General features: G+C 38.3%; 2 pseudogenes, 1 gene segment (V, D, J or C) and 1 further gene, besides 4 other annotated features; all 4 read right to left on the bottom strand.

Moving 5' to 3' along the window:
• The window catches only part of IGK (immunoglobulin kappa locus), a 1,378,008-nt gene that overhangs the window by 179,248 nt on the left and 1,181,529 nt on the right, over nucleotides 1-17,231 (bottom strand).
• Nucleotides 2,763-3,539, bottom strand: IGKV2D-18 (immunoglobulin kappa variable 2D-18 (pseudogene); annotated as a pseudogene). The gene is given in 2 exon segments: nucleotides 2,763-3,073; nucleotides 3,491-3,539. Coding segments are annotated over 2 exon segments (360 nt in total).
• Nucleotides 3,063-3,073: a sequence feature (IGKV2D-18 leader sequence).
• Nucleotides 3,491-3,539: a sequence feature (IGKV2D-18 leader sequence).
• Nucleotides 9,049-9,315, bottom strand: IGKV2D-19 (immunoglobulin kappa variable 2D-19 (pseudogene); annotated as a pseudogene). The gene is given in 1 exon segment: nucleotides 9,049-9,315. A coding segment is annotated over 1 exon segment (267 nt).
• IGKV3D-20 (immunoglobulin kappa variable 3D-20) lies at nucleotides 16,642-17,176 on the bottom strand. The segment is given in 2 exon segments: nucleotides 16,642-16,940; nucleotides 17,128-17,176. Coding segments are annotated over 2 exon segments (348 nt in total).
• Nucleotides 16,930-16,940: a sequence feature (IGKV3D-20 leader sequence).
• Nucleotides 17,128-17,176: a sequence feature (IGKV3D-20 leader sequence).

Genomic DNA, 17,231 nt, shown 5'->3' with positions numbered 1-17,231 from the left:
GAGTTAGATTTTTTAATTCCATTTACACTACTTTTTCGTGTTATTTTTCATGCAATTCAGTTATATATGCATTGCAAAATTCACAAACCATGACATCTATAGTTGTGCGCAAATATTAGTTTGTATTTATTCCTATACATATCCTTTCCAGTGTCCATCTCTTATGTATCTTTATGTTTCTATTTAGTCTTGCATTCCTTCTGTTGCAGAACTGTCTTTAGCATTTCTTTTATAGAGTACTACTGATATATAACTGCCTAATATTTTGTTGTTTTACAAACAGTATTTATTTGCACATTCATTTTGCCTCATCTTTTTCTTTCCTTTTCAAAGGCCCCAAAGATGTTAAATTACTTACTGATATTTATTTTCCTTGGAAGGATTGAGTTCCTTTTGAGTTGTTTTTCTTACATATAAATATTGCCATACAACTACATACTCAGCAAAGATAATACATAGATATATTAAGTATACTTGCCATTGGATATATTTTCTTGGAATAGGCAGCCATCTGCCATATAGCTTATGTCCTTAATCAAAAGCAGGATCATTTTGATTTAATTCAAACCATCTACTTCTACTATAGCATGATGAAATAATACATATGCCCTTTTATGGATCAAAATAATATTAAAGTACTATTGTAAATGTAGTATATTTAAAGCATATATGTGTGTAATTTAGGCATATGTTACTGGAATACTGAATTCAGTATTCCATGTTTGGTATTCAGTATCAAATATTTTAAACACTGACATGATCATTATCATTTCTGCAGTTGTTTTTCTCCTTCATTTCCATGTGCCATGTGCATTTATTGATCTAGATGTGAATGTTTTGCAATATAATATTCAAAGTGACATCCCCACTTTGTAATTTAATAGAACAATTTATTTTCAGTAGTGAAGTAGTGAGGAATAGGCCTTAGAAGATGGACACAAGAATTGCAATAAATGCAGGAGAGCAAAAATGAACTTAAAAAATCATGTTTGTTATAACATCAGAGAGTTGTGGAACAAATAAAGAACAGATAGCCTAAAATTCCACAGAGGAAAGATGCCTTTGTATATTGCCTTGTGTCCTCCTGTCACTTTGTGTCTTAGTGAAATTTGCCAAATACGAGCGTGATTGGAGATTCTGGTTTGGTCCAGGCAGAAGATCTCTACAAGAGTGGGGAATTCATCTCACCTTTGGCAGAGGCATGTACGTGCCTTACAGATTATGGATTATATGGCACAAGTGGAGCCCTTAACACCAGGATGAATTTTTCTTTGGGACATTTGCTGAGGCCTGGGTTGAGAATGGTAGCTGGGTGGGTTGGCTAGAGAGACACAATGAAACCTCCTGCATTCTCCTGAGTTCTCCCCTACCATGCTGCCTTGATTTTCCTTTATGTGTGTCTGAAATATGGGCTTTGGGCTCCCACCACTACACCTCCTACTCATCTTCCCAGCCCCTGCACTGCTCTGGTCAGCATCATCTTTATTTTAACTATAAGCTTTCTTGAATGATCCTTTCTTTCTCAAATCATTCCCAGGTAAATGATGGGGGCAGAATCTACTTTTCCAAGGTCTTCTACATCCTGCTGGATTGACTAGGAATGTGTGATATGACCTGAGGTACATTTGGACAGGGACTTCTCTAAACTTGGAGTCACTAAAGACTGTGTGATGCAATACTTCCCTGGGAGTTTGCCATTGCATCAGAGCACAGTTTTGAACTCCACGCAGGATTCCCACAACTCCCCAAGAAATACAGCAGAGCTTTCACTTGGGTTCATATATCAACTCCAACACACCACCACTAACATAGTTAACAGCTGCCCTCACATTCTCATTTACTGCCCTCTGCCCAAAGTCTATAGATTATTATTTTTCAAGGGGCAAAACATAAGCTTATATATTATTTTATATTAATCCAGATTCCATTGAATATGGCATACATTTTTGACTATGGCTACATTTTTAGTCCTTTTTTCTTTTGTCTTTTGAAACTTGGATATTTATTTTTAAAACACAGCTTTGGATTTCATAGAATTTTCTTTTCATTTCAACATACTGTGAATAAGATTGTTCAAAGATTTTTGTCACTAGGTCTTTGTTTTTGCATAAACTTACCAAAACATATCTAGCAGTTACAAAGTCTAGAATGTAAATACACGCAAGCACTCCCTGAAAAAAAAATAGGATAAAATGCTGTGCTTCCTGCTGTCCCAGAGAGAGATGTATGTTAAGAAAAGTGTAAAGTGGAAGGTAGAAGATGGGAGAGAAACTGTTTTAGTATCACCAAATCTTGTCAAGGTACATGTACACTAGTAACTGCTAAACCAAATCAAAACCAAAAATATATTAGTTTTGTATTGCCACTAATCTGTTTCATTTAGGTGGCTGTCAGGCTGAATGAATTTAGTTAGTGAATGAACTTAGGCAAGGCAGAGAGGATTACGATGAGCTTTGATTCAGCTTTCCCTTGCAACATGACTGGTTGTTCAGAGGCACTTGACCTCCCTCCATTCTCCTGCAAGTTCTGCCAGGCCAAGACTCTTGCAACTGATGGGGACTAAATTGTGGTACCTGAGATGTAACCGAGATATTGATGGTCAAGAGCCCTCAGCTGTAATGTATTCTCCTGAATTCTCCATCATCTTCCTCTTTACTCTCCCAAGATAATCGACAGTGTCTGCTTTCCAGATAAACAACACATTTGGGCAGCTGAACCACAGCAAGAAGGGAGGTTTCTGTTCAGGGTTGTACCACTGTGTTAGGAAACTGTGTAGCTTGCATGCAGTAATAAACCCCAACATCCTCAGCCTCCACCCAGCTGATTTTCAGTGTGAAATCACTGCCTGACCCACTGCCACTAAACCTGTCTGGGACCCCAGAAAAACGACTGGAAACCCTATAAATCAGGAGCTGTGGAGATTGCCCTGGCTTCTGCGGGTACCAATGCAAATAGGTATATCCATTACTATGCAGGAGGCTTTGACTAGACCTGCAGGAGATGGAGGCCGGCTCTCCAGGGTTGACGGGCAGGGAGGGTGGAGTCTGGGTCATCACAATATCTCCACTGGATCCTGAAGTAGTGAGAGAAGTGCAAGGTTATGTACAAATATTGGGAACCATTGAAATGATATTCTTTCTGTTATCTACTTTATGCTAAGTGATTTTTTTGTGTGACTTTGGTTCATACCCCTAAACATCCAGGCATAAAAAGAACCAACATTCACAAGGCACAAAAGAGACTCAAGAAGTCACCTACACTATTATCCTCTTCCTGTGTGACACTCTTCATGAGAGCACAAGTCCTTTGTCCTTCTAGGATATGAAGTTTAGAACTATAAGAGTGAGGAATCTTCTCTTTCTGACTCTTGCAGTTCTAAACTTTATACACCTTTTCTTGCAGGTCAAGATGTGCATGTGGACAGGCAGTGGGGCCCCCAGAGCTCACCCTCACACTCCATTCTCCTCCCTTATCTCCCTTCTGTCCTTACCAGGAACCCAAAGCATTAGCAGCCCCAGGAGCTGAGCAGGGAACCTTATTGTGAGAAGGTGAGCTGAGGAGTTCTGATCAGTCAAGGCAAGGTTACAGCTGAGCTTTTATCTCAGACTCACAATGGAAGGTCCTCCCTAGGGGACAGTATGCAAATCCCCTGGTGGGTGCAGTGGGGTGGAAAGAGCCAAGGAGAGTATGGGGACATCTAGTGTGAGCACAGTGACATAATGTGTCCTCTGTGTTTGGAGGGAACCTAATAAAGTTTGTGCTGCCTGAGTGGAAAAAGGGACATATTTAATCATGTTCTTCTATTTCCTCTAAGAGATTTCTACATTGTTTTCACTTTCCCAGACACATTTTACACTTGTCTTTAATAGGCTGAGTTTCCATAAATATTTGGTTATTCTTATTTGTTTAATTTTATTATATATATACACACACACATACATATATATACACATATGTATATATGTATAAATATATATATATTTTTGATATATATATCTATATATAAAAATATATATTATTTTGTGTATAAATATATATGTATATATTTTGAGACAGAGTTTCACTTACTCTGTCACCCAGACTGGAGTACAGTGTCAGGATCTCGGCTCACTGCAACCTCTGCCTCCCAGGTTAAAGCGATTCTCTTGCCTCAGCCTCCCGAGCTAGCTGGGATTACTGGCATGCACCACCATACCTGGTTAATTTTTGTATTTTTAGTAGAGATGGGGTTTCATATATTGGCCAGGCCGGTCTCAAACTCTTGACTTCAAGTGATCCTCCTGCCTCGACCTCCCAAAGTGCTGGGATTACAGGCATGTGCCACCACACCTGGCCAGTTATTCTTATTTATTATTTTCATATTTATTTTAGCATCTAGGTTTTTAAATTAGTTTGATTTTAGTTGATAAAATCCCCAGAGTAAAGGGCACAAATATTAAGCGTGTAACTGAATGAAATTTGTGTATATTCACTGTCAAGGTGGAACTATGGAATATAGATTTTTTTTTTTTTTTTGAGATGGAGTCTTGCTGTGTCGCCCAGGCTGGAGTACAGTGGCCCGTGATCTCGGCTCACTGCAAGCTCCGCCTCCCGGGTTCAGGCCATTCTCCTGCCTCAGCCTCCCAAGCAGCTGGGGACCACAGGCGCCCGCCACCACGCCCGGTTAATTTTTTGCATTTTTAGTAGAGACAGTAGAGACCAATATCATATTCCCTCAGTAATGCTCTGAGCTGTACTCCCTACTAGCATGTTCCTGTGAACTCAGGAACTGCTCTTCTAGACCCCGGCTTTCTGGAGAGCAGGTGAGGGGGAGGCACCGGGGAAAGGTCAGGTCATTGAGCTGTTGGGTGTATGTTCCTGCTGTGCACCATCAATGCCACTTTCCTCTTTTACGCTTAAGCAATGAATGGGGACATCATCCTGACCCAGATTCCAGCTTCTCTGTTGGGATTGGTAGGAGGGAGAGTCTTCATCTCCTGGCAAGCCACTGCTTACGTATATGGAAAAGTATTTTAGATTCTAATGAAACTGGACAAAGATTTGAAATCCGATTTTTTACATATCTAACTTGGCCCTGATTGTCTCAGCCTGGTTCAGCAACAGAAGGAGTGGAATAAATTGTATCAGCATCAGTAGACTGGAGCCTGAGGACTCCAGGGAACATTCGCACACAAGACTAGGAGAGGCCAAATCACAGCAGTCTAGCCTGTGCACCGTCCTCCTGTGGCCTTTCATGAGCCTGATTTTTTAGAGAAACTTGTTTACATCCAGCTTGCCAGGATCAAATTCTAGAGAGACGCAGATTTAAATGTAAGTTCGCATCTTTTTTTTTTTTTTTTTTTTTTTCCTGCATGGATGTGCTGGAATGATGGAGGAAGGAGTTATGGAGCCAGGAATATGAGGGTATCTTGAAGATTAAAATCAAGAAATCCGATTTTCTCCCCTGGAGCCTCCGGAAGAAATACAGCCCTAGTGACTCCTTAATTTTAGCTCAGTAAGACTTCTCAATCCAGAATTGTAGATAATAAATTTGATAGGATTTATTATAGATAATAAATCATACTGAATGCGGTATAATTGTGGTAATTAGTTGCCCTAGCAATAGGAAACTGTTACAGGCATAAGGCATATCTTTTATCTTTCTAAAAGTGTGATTGTCCTTCTTCTCCTAAACATTTCCATTGTGTTATCATTTGGTGTCAATTTTGACCAGAGGCAGAGAACATTTTACTGCGAGGAGAGCTAGCACCAGAATTCTTAGGTGGAAAATCTCTTGTGAGAATCCCTTTATTAGGTCTCATATGATCTGCATGTCTGAGATCCTAGGGGTCAGCTCTCACAGCACAATGTGGGGGAGCATGTGTGGTTATTTGTTTCTTATTATATTAGTAGGACTCGTTAGATTTTCAGGACAGGATCTGAGAGGAAAGGAACTAAAAACAAAGACCATATGATCATCTCAACAGATGCAGAAAAGGCTTTAAATAAAATTCATCATCCCTTGATTTTAAAAGCCCTGAACAAACTAGACATTGAAGGAAGATACCTCACAATTATAAGACCTATATATGACAAACCCACAGCCAACATCATACTGAATGGTGAAAAGCTGGAAGAACTTCCTCTAAGAACCAGAACAAGACAAGGATGCTTATTACTCTCACCACTCCTATTCAACATAGGGCTAGAAGTCCTAGCCAGAGGAGGAGAGGAAGTCAGTCTATCTCTCTTTGCATCTGATATAATTTATACCTAGAAAACCCTGTCTTCACTGCCCAAATGTTCCTGGATCTAATAAACCACTTCAGCAAAGTTTCAAGATATAAAATCAATGTAAAAAATCAGTAGCATTTCTATATACCAACAATGTCTATGCTGAGAGCCAAATCAAGAACGCAATCCCATTCACAATAGCCACAGAAAATAAAGTACTTAGGAATACAGTTAACCAGGGTGCTGAAAGATATCTACAACTAGAATTATAATAAACTGCTGAAAGAAATCAGAGATGACAAAAACAAATGGAAAAATACTTCATGCTCATGGATGGAAAGAATCAATATTCTTAAAATGATCACATAGCCCAAAGCAATTTACAGATTCAATGCTATTTATATCAAACTATCAACAAAATTTTTCACAGAAGTAGAAAAACTATTCTAAAATTCATATGGAACCACAAAAGAGCCCAAATAGACAAAGCCGTCCTAAGCAAAAATGAACAAAACCAGAGGCATTGCACTACCTGACTTCAAACTATATACTACAAGGCTACGGTAACCAAAATTGCATGGTTCTGGTACAAAAATAGGCACATAAATCAATGTAACAGTTTAGAGAACCCAGACTTAAAGCTGTACATTATAACCATCTGATCTTGACAATGTTGACAAAAGGTAGCAATAGAGAAAAGGCTCCCTATTTGATAAATGGTGCTAGCATAACTGGCCAGCCATATATAGAAGATTGAAACTGGACCCCTTCCTTTCACCATATACAAAAATCTACTCAATATGGATTAAAGACTTAAATGTAAAACCTAAAACTTCAAAAACACTAGAAGAAAATCTAAGAAATACCATTCTAGACAAAGGCCATAGTAAAAATTTCATGACAAAAACTCCAAAAGCAACTGCAACAAAAACAAAAATTGATAAATGGGACCTAATTAAAGTAAAGAGCTTCTACACAAGTTAAAGAAACTATAAACAGCGTCAACAGACAGCCTACAGAATGAGAGAAAATATTTGTAAACTATGCACCCGACAAAGACCCAATAACCAGAATCTGTAATGAACGTAAATTAACAAGCAACAAACAAAAACAACCCCATTAAAAAGTGGCCAAATGTCATGAACAGACTCTTCTTAAAACAAAACATGCACATAGTCAACAAGCATATGAAAAATGCTCAACACCACTAATCATTAGAAAAACGCAAATTAAAACCACAATTAGGTATCATCTCACACCAGTCAGAATGGCTATTATTAAAAAGTCAAAAAATAACAAATGTTGATGAGGTTGCAGAGAAAGGAGAATGCTTATACACGGCTGGTGGGAGTGTAAATTAGTTCAGCCATGGTGCAAAGCAGTTTGGAGATTCCTCAAAGAATTTTAAACAGAACTACCATTTGATTCAGCAATCCTATTACAGAGTGTATACCCAAAGGAATATAAATTGTTCTACCATAAAGACACATGCACACATATGTTCACTGCAGCAAAGACATGGAATTAACTAAATGCCCATCAGTGGTAGACAGAATAAAGAAAATGTGGTACATATACATCACAGAATACCATCCACAACTGCAACAAATACAAGACAAAGTTCAGGTTATTGGACCGTAGTTGGCCTCTACTATATTCTCTTTTATGTTCTCATTCCTGGAGTCTGCCCACAGTTTTAAAATTCTCACCCTTTGGTAAAGAAAAAAAAACCTCACATTATTCTGTGTTATTCTAGTGGCATATAAGATAAATTCTATAATCTGCTTGTTCCAGTTTAAGTTTTTGTTTTTAAAATCCAACTTTTGGAATTTCAAATATTATCCTTTTTTATTAGCAAGAAGTAATTGAAATGAATGAAAGAGTTTTAACATCAGGATCTTCTGTCTTCCATGACGTCACAAAAGTCTATTTGGAGGTGCAAATTCAAGCTTTTTAATGATTGTCCTCAGCCAGCTCTCCCTGAGGACAGCTTGTGTAGAATGCTCTTTTCACTATTTGTTATGTGTTGCAATGGAAAGAGAACTAGTAAAAAGGAGAAGAAGGAAATTGGAAAAGTTGAAAAATACCAGTTTCTAAATACTACCAAATACTATCCTCTTAAAAATATACACAAAAGACCTAAACTTCAAGAGATAGTCAACACATGTTGACACGAATCTGTGTTACTTGTCTGGCTATTAAGCTATTTGAAGTCTCATTGTCGAATGTAGGCAAGGCAGGGAGGATTAGTGTGAGATTTCCCTCCACTCTCCCTCAGTCCTGTCTGCTTACTCTGAAGGCACTTGAATTATCTCTGTTTTCCTTTGGCTTATGCCATGCCAAGGCTGTGGGAGCTGACAGGACCATGAATGGGTTTTACCTGATGTACTGCGGAGTCCCCCATGGGACAGGTCATTCAGCTGCAACCTGTTACCCTGAGCTCGCCAACATCTTCATCTTTTTTTTTTTTTTTTTTTTTGAGATGGAGTCTCCCTCTGTCATCCAGGCTGTAGTGCAGTGGTGTGATCTTGGCTCACTGCAGGCTCCATCTCCCGGGTTCAAGCTATTCTCCTGCCTCAGCCTCCTGAGTAACTAGGATTACAGGCGTGCACCACCACGTCCAGCTAATTTTTGTATTTTTAGTAGAGATGGGGTTTCACCATGTTGGTCGGGCTGGTCTCAAACTTTTGACCTCATGATCTGCCCACCTCGGCCCAACATCTTCATCTTATACAGCAGAGATTCTGTTGTGCCACTCCCCAGATAAACAACATATTTCAGCAGCTGGGCCACTCCAAACAGGGAGGTTTGTATTCAGGGTTGTACCACTGTGGGAGGCACTTGTGTACCTTGCAGGCAGTAATAAACCCCAACGTCCTCAGCCTCTACCCTGCTGATTTTCAATATGAAATCTGTCCCTGAACCACTGCTGCTGAACCTGCCTGAGACCCCAGACTTCCTGTTAGAAACTTCATAAATCAGGCACTTTAGAGGTTGGCCTGGCTTCTGCAGAAACCAATTCAAGTAAGTGTTTCCATTTCTATGAAAGGGGCTCTGACCAGACCTGCAGGAAATGGAGGATGGCTCTCCAAGGAAGAGTGGAGTGTGAAGTCTCAGGATGTGAACTTGGAGGGATTTTTTTTCCCACAAGAATCCAGCAAATGAGAGGATAACCTTACAGCATCCATAAGGTAGAAGCCTATCAAACGTAAGGACAACCTGAGACTAAGGGTAGCCAGGGAGAGAAGATCTGAGCTGGAAAGGGTGAAACAAATGGACCAAAAGAAGCTGACCGCAAGACAGGAAGTTCAGAATCAGGGAAGCTGAATATGAATCTGACTAGAAGATGCTCTTGAGAGATTTAAACTTTTCCCATGTTTTATGTTTCTCATATTGCAAATAGTTTCCATTGTTAAGAGAATATGTTTGTACAGAAATTCAGCTTATGACGAACTTTGAAATTCCACCAAAGAGATCGAGGGAACGATGGGTTGTTGCTTTTCAGGACTACAAATCAGCCTGTCTTTGAGATCTGACACTGTCTATTTTGCAGTGGAATCTGCGATGAGGCTGTGAATTGGGCAGTGAAGTCAGGGCAGGGCTGACTGTGCTCTGGGTGCCACGGATAACAGGGACATTCCTTCAGGGCCGGTGATGCTGGGAGGCTGAGGGGAGAGACTCAGTATGAAGCCATCTGTGAGCCTCCTTGGCAATGCTATCTGGACCCTGGTCATCGAATGAGCCACTCCAAGCAGGGAGTTTTGCCTTCAAAGTTGTATACATGGATGCCCGTGGATGGCCAAACATAGGCTCAGGTTGAGCAGGGACCAAGATTTAGGAAGGAGCAATATGAGGCTGACCTGATGCTCCGAGGTTTCAGCACAATCTTAAGGGATCATACAGGGAGAGAAAGGGGTCACAAGGTGTAATTTTTTCATTTGATGCTGAATATACCTCTTCAGACCATTTTTCTACCCTGTATGTAACTACTGGTATACATTTAACCAAAGCCACTGCTACTAATGATCATTTCAGTCATTGATAGTGAGAGGTGAGGCCAGCTGGACTTCCTGGGTGGAGTGGGGACTTCTTACAAGAGGATTGTAAAATGCACCAATCAGCGCTCTGTAAAACGCACCAGTCAGTGCTCTGTAAAATGCACCAATCAGCAGGATTCTAAAAGTAGCCAATCGTGGGGAGGATTGAAAAAAGGGCACTCTGATAGGACAGAAGCGGAACATGGGTGGGGACAATAAGGGAATAAAAGCTGGCCACCCCAGCCAGCAGTGGCAACCCGCAAGGGTCCCTTTCCATGCTATGGAAGTTTTGTCCTTTAGCTCTTCACAGTAATCCTTGCTGCCGCTCCGTGCCATCTTTAAGAGCTGTAACACTCTCCACAAAGGTCCGTGGCTTCATTCTTGAAGTCAGCCAGACTCACCAGCAGGAACCAACTCCGGACACAATAGCCTGTGTGCACAGATCCCGAGAAGCTGGAAATCTGGACCACCATTCAATGTATGAGGAGACATACACATAAAGTTCACGTTTTCTCCATCCACAGGAGGTGACTGTGGATGTGAGTTTGAGTCTGACTAGAAGACGGTCTTGTGAGATTTAAACTACGATTTTTCCTATTGAAAAGAAGAAACACCTTTTTTTACCCTTTTTGCAACAAATATGTATTGAGCCCCAACAGTCATGCATTGTGCTAAATGAAAAATTTAAAGATGGCACAAAAGAGAAAAAAAAAAGGAAGAGAAAGAGAGGGGGGGCTTCAAAATCTTGTATAATTCGTTGCAAATACTACGAACACTTCCAGGTATGTTTATTCATAAGGACAGTGGATGCAACTGGCAGAGGCTGCAGTTTTGCAGTGGAGGGAAACTCTGTATACAGAGGCAAACTTCTTCTGCCATGGCCACAGCAATCCCTTGTTCTAAGCTTAGGAAGAAAAATCTAAAAAAATGAAATTCACAGAAATAGCAAGTAGAATGCTGGTTACCAGAGACTGCATTGTTAAAGGGTACAAAATGTCAGTCTGATAGGGGGACTAAGTTTTGGAGATCTGTTGCATAGCATGGCGACATTATTATATAGATGTATTTCTGGCAGGCTTGATTGCCTATTACATGGTAAGTCAGCATACACTAAGACACTGGGGGCTGCTGCAGAGAAAGAGATTTAATCCCAAGGCAATTAAATGAGAAGACAGGAGGAAGCCTCATATCTACCTCCCCAAGCACTTTGGGGTTAAAGATTTTAAGTGGTTTTGGATGGAGAGAGAGATTGGTTGAAGAATGAAGGATGAAGTCATGGGACTGGGAGGTGAAGAAACTGCTTTCTTATGTTGACTCGGTTCTTTGGGAGGGGGGTGGTCTTTAGACAAGTTGGTGTCAGCTATTCTACTGGAATTCAGGATCTGGTAAATATCTCAAAGATTAGGTTTTATGCTCATAATGGTGAAGGTGTTATATTTGGGAACAATGGGGCGTTAATGGTCTGTATTTATTGCAACTTGACTTTTATTAGTGAGAAGCTAAGGGAAGTTGCTCAGAATGTTGTCTGATTAATGCTTAACTATATTTCAGTCTGGAACCTGGCATACTGTTCTTGTTAACCTTATGACAGTGGTTTTGTAGTTAATAATACTATATTCTGTATTTCAAAATAACAAAGTATAGTCAATGTTCTCAATACAAAAAATGATAAATATTGGAGGTGAGGACTATGTTAATTAACCTGATTTGATTATTCGACAATGTATACATGTATGCATCTCATTGTACCCCGTATGTATATACATTACTATTTGTCAATTAAAATCAAAATAAAACTTTTAAAAATTCATGTAGCCATTGCCTGGAATAAATAAAGATAAATATGTGTGCACATGCATAACTATACCCCTGTAAAAATTGGAGCTACGAAGTCCAGTAAAATATTGAATCACAGATATTTCTGTCTTTAGCTTTAGTGGAAATAGTCAAAATACTGGGTCCCAACAATAGTTATATTAGTCCTTTCTTCCCATATCCACCACCTTGTTATTTTTTAATTCATTTGTAATACCTTTAGTTTCATTTACTCTTGTTTGTAGCCCATTTGGATACTCTCATCTTTCTTGATTTCAATTATTTTCAAATATTTGTAGTATAAATAGAGTCTCCAAAGACATAAATTCACAAAAACAAAAAGGTAAGCTCAGAGACGTCTCGCCTTCCACCCCTTCTGTACCACTCTCATCTCATCCCTTCACCCTGTTACCAGCCCCTTCCTCTTATCACTCCCTGCCAGCCTCACTCTGTCTATCCTCTCAAATTTGTTGTTTTCGTTTACGGTTCTGTTTGTTTTTAAATCTCCTCTGCTTTCTTACTTGGAAGGTAACACGGTATAGATATTTGTTGGCACTTTGCTTTTTTGTATATCTGAGAAATAACTTCCTTTCAATTCATAGATACCTTCTTCCTTTTGACAGCTGATACATACTCCATTGCATGAATGTTCCATAGCTATTTCAACAAAATATTTATTTATGAATATTCTGGGTGGTGTCAACATTTTACAAATCATTACAATTAATGTTCCAATGAATAACCTTGTGTATATGTATTTTTGTAGTGTTGAAGGTGTATCTTCAGAGATTCCTAGGAATGGGATTATGGGTCAAAGTTACACATTAAGATAGTTTTGTAGATGTTGTCATATTCTCCTTCTTAAAAAGGTAGTATTAGTTTCCATCCTCACAGCTGTTAATGAGAAATCCTGTTTCCCTATAACCTTGCCTAAAAATATGGTTAATATTTTTTGGATTTTCTTAAACCAGATAATACTACCTCAAAGTAGTTTCAATTTGCATTTCCCTCATTATTGAGATTACACACTTTACTTGTGTTTAAATGCTATATGTATATATCTTTTATAATGCATTGTCTGTTCTCTTTTCTTCTTTTTTCTATTGGATTTTTGATCCATTATCTTAACTTTTAATAGAGTTGTTTCATATTAGAACAGTAACAGTTTATTTGTTTAATATATTAAGAATAGTTTCTCCTTGTTTTTAGTTGTCTTTTGATTTTATTTTTGTGTATGCGATTTCATTTATTTACTTACAATCTTTTATCTAAAAATTCAATCATATTTGGAACAACATATTTTGTTTACAGTGTTGATTTATTTTATCCTAATTTGTTTTTTAGTTCTGTATTATTTTATTATAATTGAGTACCCCAGAGAACTACAACCTGCATCCTTGGCTTATTGTGTTTTACATAATTTAGCATTTTACGAGCTTCCAGACCTGGATCTTAAGCCTCATGATGCCCCCCGCCTCGGCTTCCCAAAGTGCTGGGATTGATTACAGGTGTGAGCCACCGCGCCCGGCCGAAGGGACATATTTTTTAATGTCCTTCTGTTTCTCTAAGAGGTTTCTAATTATTTTTCCCTTTCCCAGGCATATTTTACATTGGTCTTTAATAGGCTGAGTTTTCATAAATATTTTCTATTCTATTTGGTATTTTTACGTATTATTTTAAGTGATAAAACACCCAGAGGGCACAAAGGGCACACATCTTCAAATTGTAACTGAATAAAGTTTTTGTGTATTCATTGGCCAGATGGAACTACAGAATATTTACCTTCTGCTGATGCTTCCTCCATGCACCTTCCTCTTCAGTAACTGCTTCCCCATCTCAACCAAGGTAATTGTCATTCTGACATCGAACACAGTAATTTGGGTTTTTATGTCTTTAATGTCATATAAATTGAATTGTGTGTTTTTTTCTAGCTTTATTCTTATTGTTTACTACTTTCGAGTCCTTCATTATAGACTATGGGCTCAAAATCCCACCTGCTGTAATCTTCTGTGATTCTGAAAGATTTCCTCTTGAATTTCTTATAAGGCAGAGCTGCTATTAATGAATTTATTCTGTTTATCAAGGAATATTTTTAGTTCTGAAGAATATTTTCACCAGAAACAAAATTGCTGGTTGTCCTCTTTCATTTCCTTTTAGTATTTAAATATCTCATTCCAATCTCTTCCAGCCTCCCTCGGTCCTAATGAAAACTTAGCCAATGGCATTATTGTTGTGTCTCCATATGTAGAGTCAGCTTTTAGTCCTGACACATTCACAAATTTCTCTTTGTCTTTCAACATTTTTAAGTATAATGTATTTTGTTATTAATCTTGTATTATATCCTGAAAGCGTTTCATTGAGTTTCTTTCATCTATAGATTAAATTACCTTTGTGGTTCATTATTTTTGAAAAGCTGTTGTCATTACTATTCCAAGTATTTTTTGATCACTTTCTCTCTCTCTGCTTTTTTGTGACTCGCTTTACACACTTGTTGGTATCTTTCAACCTGAGCTGTAATTCTGTCAAGTCTTGCGCATTTTTTCTTAAACTCCTTTCTTTATTTAGATTCAATAATTTCTGTACATCTATTTTTAAGTTCACTGAATCTTTTGCCATCTTAAACTGATGTTGGACTTATCTAATATATTTTTCAGTTGAGTTATTGTACTTTTTGTTTCTAGAATTCTCACTTGATTCTTTTCCATAGTTTCTATTTTTTAAGAGTTTCCATTTGCTGAGTCATTGTCTTTATATTTTCCTCTTTATATCTTTAAAACTATATGATCATAGTTTTAAGAATAATTATTTAAAAATCTATATAATAATTGCTTTGTAGTCTTTGCTAAAGCTGATATTCAGGACGAGTCAGAATTAGCTTTCATTGACTGTGCTTTCTTGCTGCAGTTGTTTTGTTTTGTTCCCTCAATATTGATCATACTTTTCTGTTTCTTTGCAGGATTTTTTAATGGAAAACTGTATATTTTAGACAATATATTCCTGTACCTCTATCAGGAATATATTCTATTTTTCTTAAAATTTGTGAGTTTCTTTATAGTTACTTCCCTGAACTTACAGTAAGTCCCTAATTCATGGTGGTTGCACTTAAGATGTTTTGACTTTACAATAGTGTGAAAATTATTTGTATTCAGTAGAAACAGTGCTTCCAGTACTGGTACAACTACTCTGTTTTTCACTTTCATATAATATTCAATAAACCACATTACAATAAGTTATAATAAATTATTGGTGGTGATAAATGAAAGTGACCAGTGAAATCCCTTTTGGAAGGAAGCCTTTGACAAAGCTAAGACAGCTGTTCCTATCACTCTTCCTACTTGGTCATTCACTAACTTTCTTAGTTTTGTTATTTATTAAAACAGAGTACCTCTCTGCAAATGAACAGCTGTTACTGAGTCAATTAGTTGGATAAATAAATATAATTTTCTACCATTTAAAATATTTGTAGAAGTCAAATGGATAGCTGCACCATGCACTGAGCTGCGTTTACTGGGGAGACTGAGAATTATTGATGCCATGTTAAGAATCACACTGTGAGAAACTAATTCTGGAAATCTGAGATTCTGGCGGCACAGTTGAAGAGGGTTTGGCTACATCTGCATAGTAATTATTTCCAAAAATAAGCACGTTCGCAAATTTTTAATCTTCTGATCTCACCATCACCATACTGTCACCCACACTATATTCCAGGTATTCAGGCACTGTAAGTTCTCATTTTGGTGTTTCTTCAGGTTCACTGTGGCCATTCTACATCCTTGACATTCCCATATAATATTTAGATTAGCTTCTTAATTTAAATTGGAGTATACTTTAGGATTTTGATTTTTCTTATATGTAATCAATATTTTAATCTTCGAAGAATTGACATTTTTATAGTACTGAGACATTCAGTCTTTGAACTGAATTTCTATTTACTTAGGTTTTCTTTTATTTTTCAAAATAATATTCTGGAGACGTCAGTGTATTTAGTCTATTTTTTTTAAATAATTGATACTTTGATGTTTTTGTAAAAGGTGTGTTTGTTTTATAATGTTAATTTTTAGCATTTTTTTCATTATGCAGAAATGAAATTGATTTTTGAATCTACGAATTAATAAATTGATCTTGAATCTAACGATTTTCTATTTCTCATGTCAATTTTAATAGTTTCTCTGTAGACAAATTTGAATTTTATCTGCACACAATCCTTCATCAGTGAATTATGACAGCTTTAATTCTTCTTTTCCAATTTTGATTATTTGTTGCTATTGTTGTTGCCTTATGGCTCTGGTTGGGACCTTTATTGACATCCACTGACGTAAATCTGATCCAGTGGCCATTACTGTGAAACTGTGCTTTAAACCTGGCTGTCCATCTTGGTCTGAGGAATAATGCAGGAATCAGAGTCTAAATATATCAAGGGATTACTTTTTTAAGATCCCCAAAATGCCCAAGCAGAGAAGAGATGCTAAAATTGAGTTGTCATTGCAGCAGCTATCTGTAAAGGAAGCAGCTGGTATAATCTAGTAAACAATGAAGGTCTTGCAGAGGTTTTTGTTTCAAGCTGAATCACTGTGGGAGGTGAGCTACCATACTGCTGACAGTAATACACTGCAAAATCTTCAGGCTCCAGTCTGCTGATGGTGAGAGTGAAGTCTGTCCCAGACCCACTGCCACTGAACCTGTCTGGGATGCCAGTGGCCCTGCTGGATGCATCATAGATGAGGAGCCTGGGCGCCAGGCCAGGTTTCTGCTGGTACCAGGCTAAGTAGCTGCTGCTAACACTCTGACTGGCCCCGCAGGAGAGGGTGGCTCTTTCCCCTGGAGACAAAGACAGGGTGGCTGGAGACTGCGTCAACACAATTTCTCCGGTGGTATCTGAGATTGGAAATAAAATAGAAAAGTCACCCATGTAATCTAAATCAAACCCACTGTCTTCCCAGAAGAGCCAGAATTATTGCTTTATATTGAGCTTTAATTATTGTATTGATTCAGCAGAGTTGCCAGGTAACAGGACTTGAGAGGGTTTTCACTGACATGCAAAACCATCCCATGTTCCCCTCACCTGGGAGCCAGAGTAGCAGGAGGAAGAGAAGCTGCGCTGGGGTTTCCATGGTTCCCTCTGGGTCCTAACTGAGCAGTTCCTCCCCAGAGCTCTGACCCAGGCAT

The sequence above is a fragment of the Homo sapiens genome, chromosome 2 (genome assembly GCF_000001405.40).
Source record: "Homo sapiens chromosome 2, GRCh38.p14 Primary Assembly".
In the NCBI taxonomy this organism is placed as follows: domain Eukaryota; kingdom Metazoa; phylum Chordata; class Mammalia; order Primates; family Hominidae; genus Homo; species Homo sapiens.
Note: the sequence above shows the minus strand (reverse complement) of the source record. Positions and strands in the feature narration are given on the sequence as shown.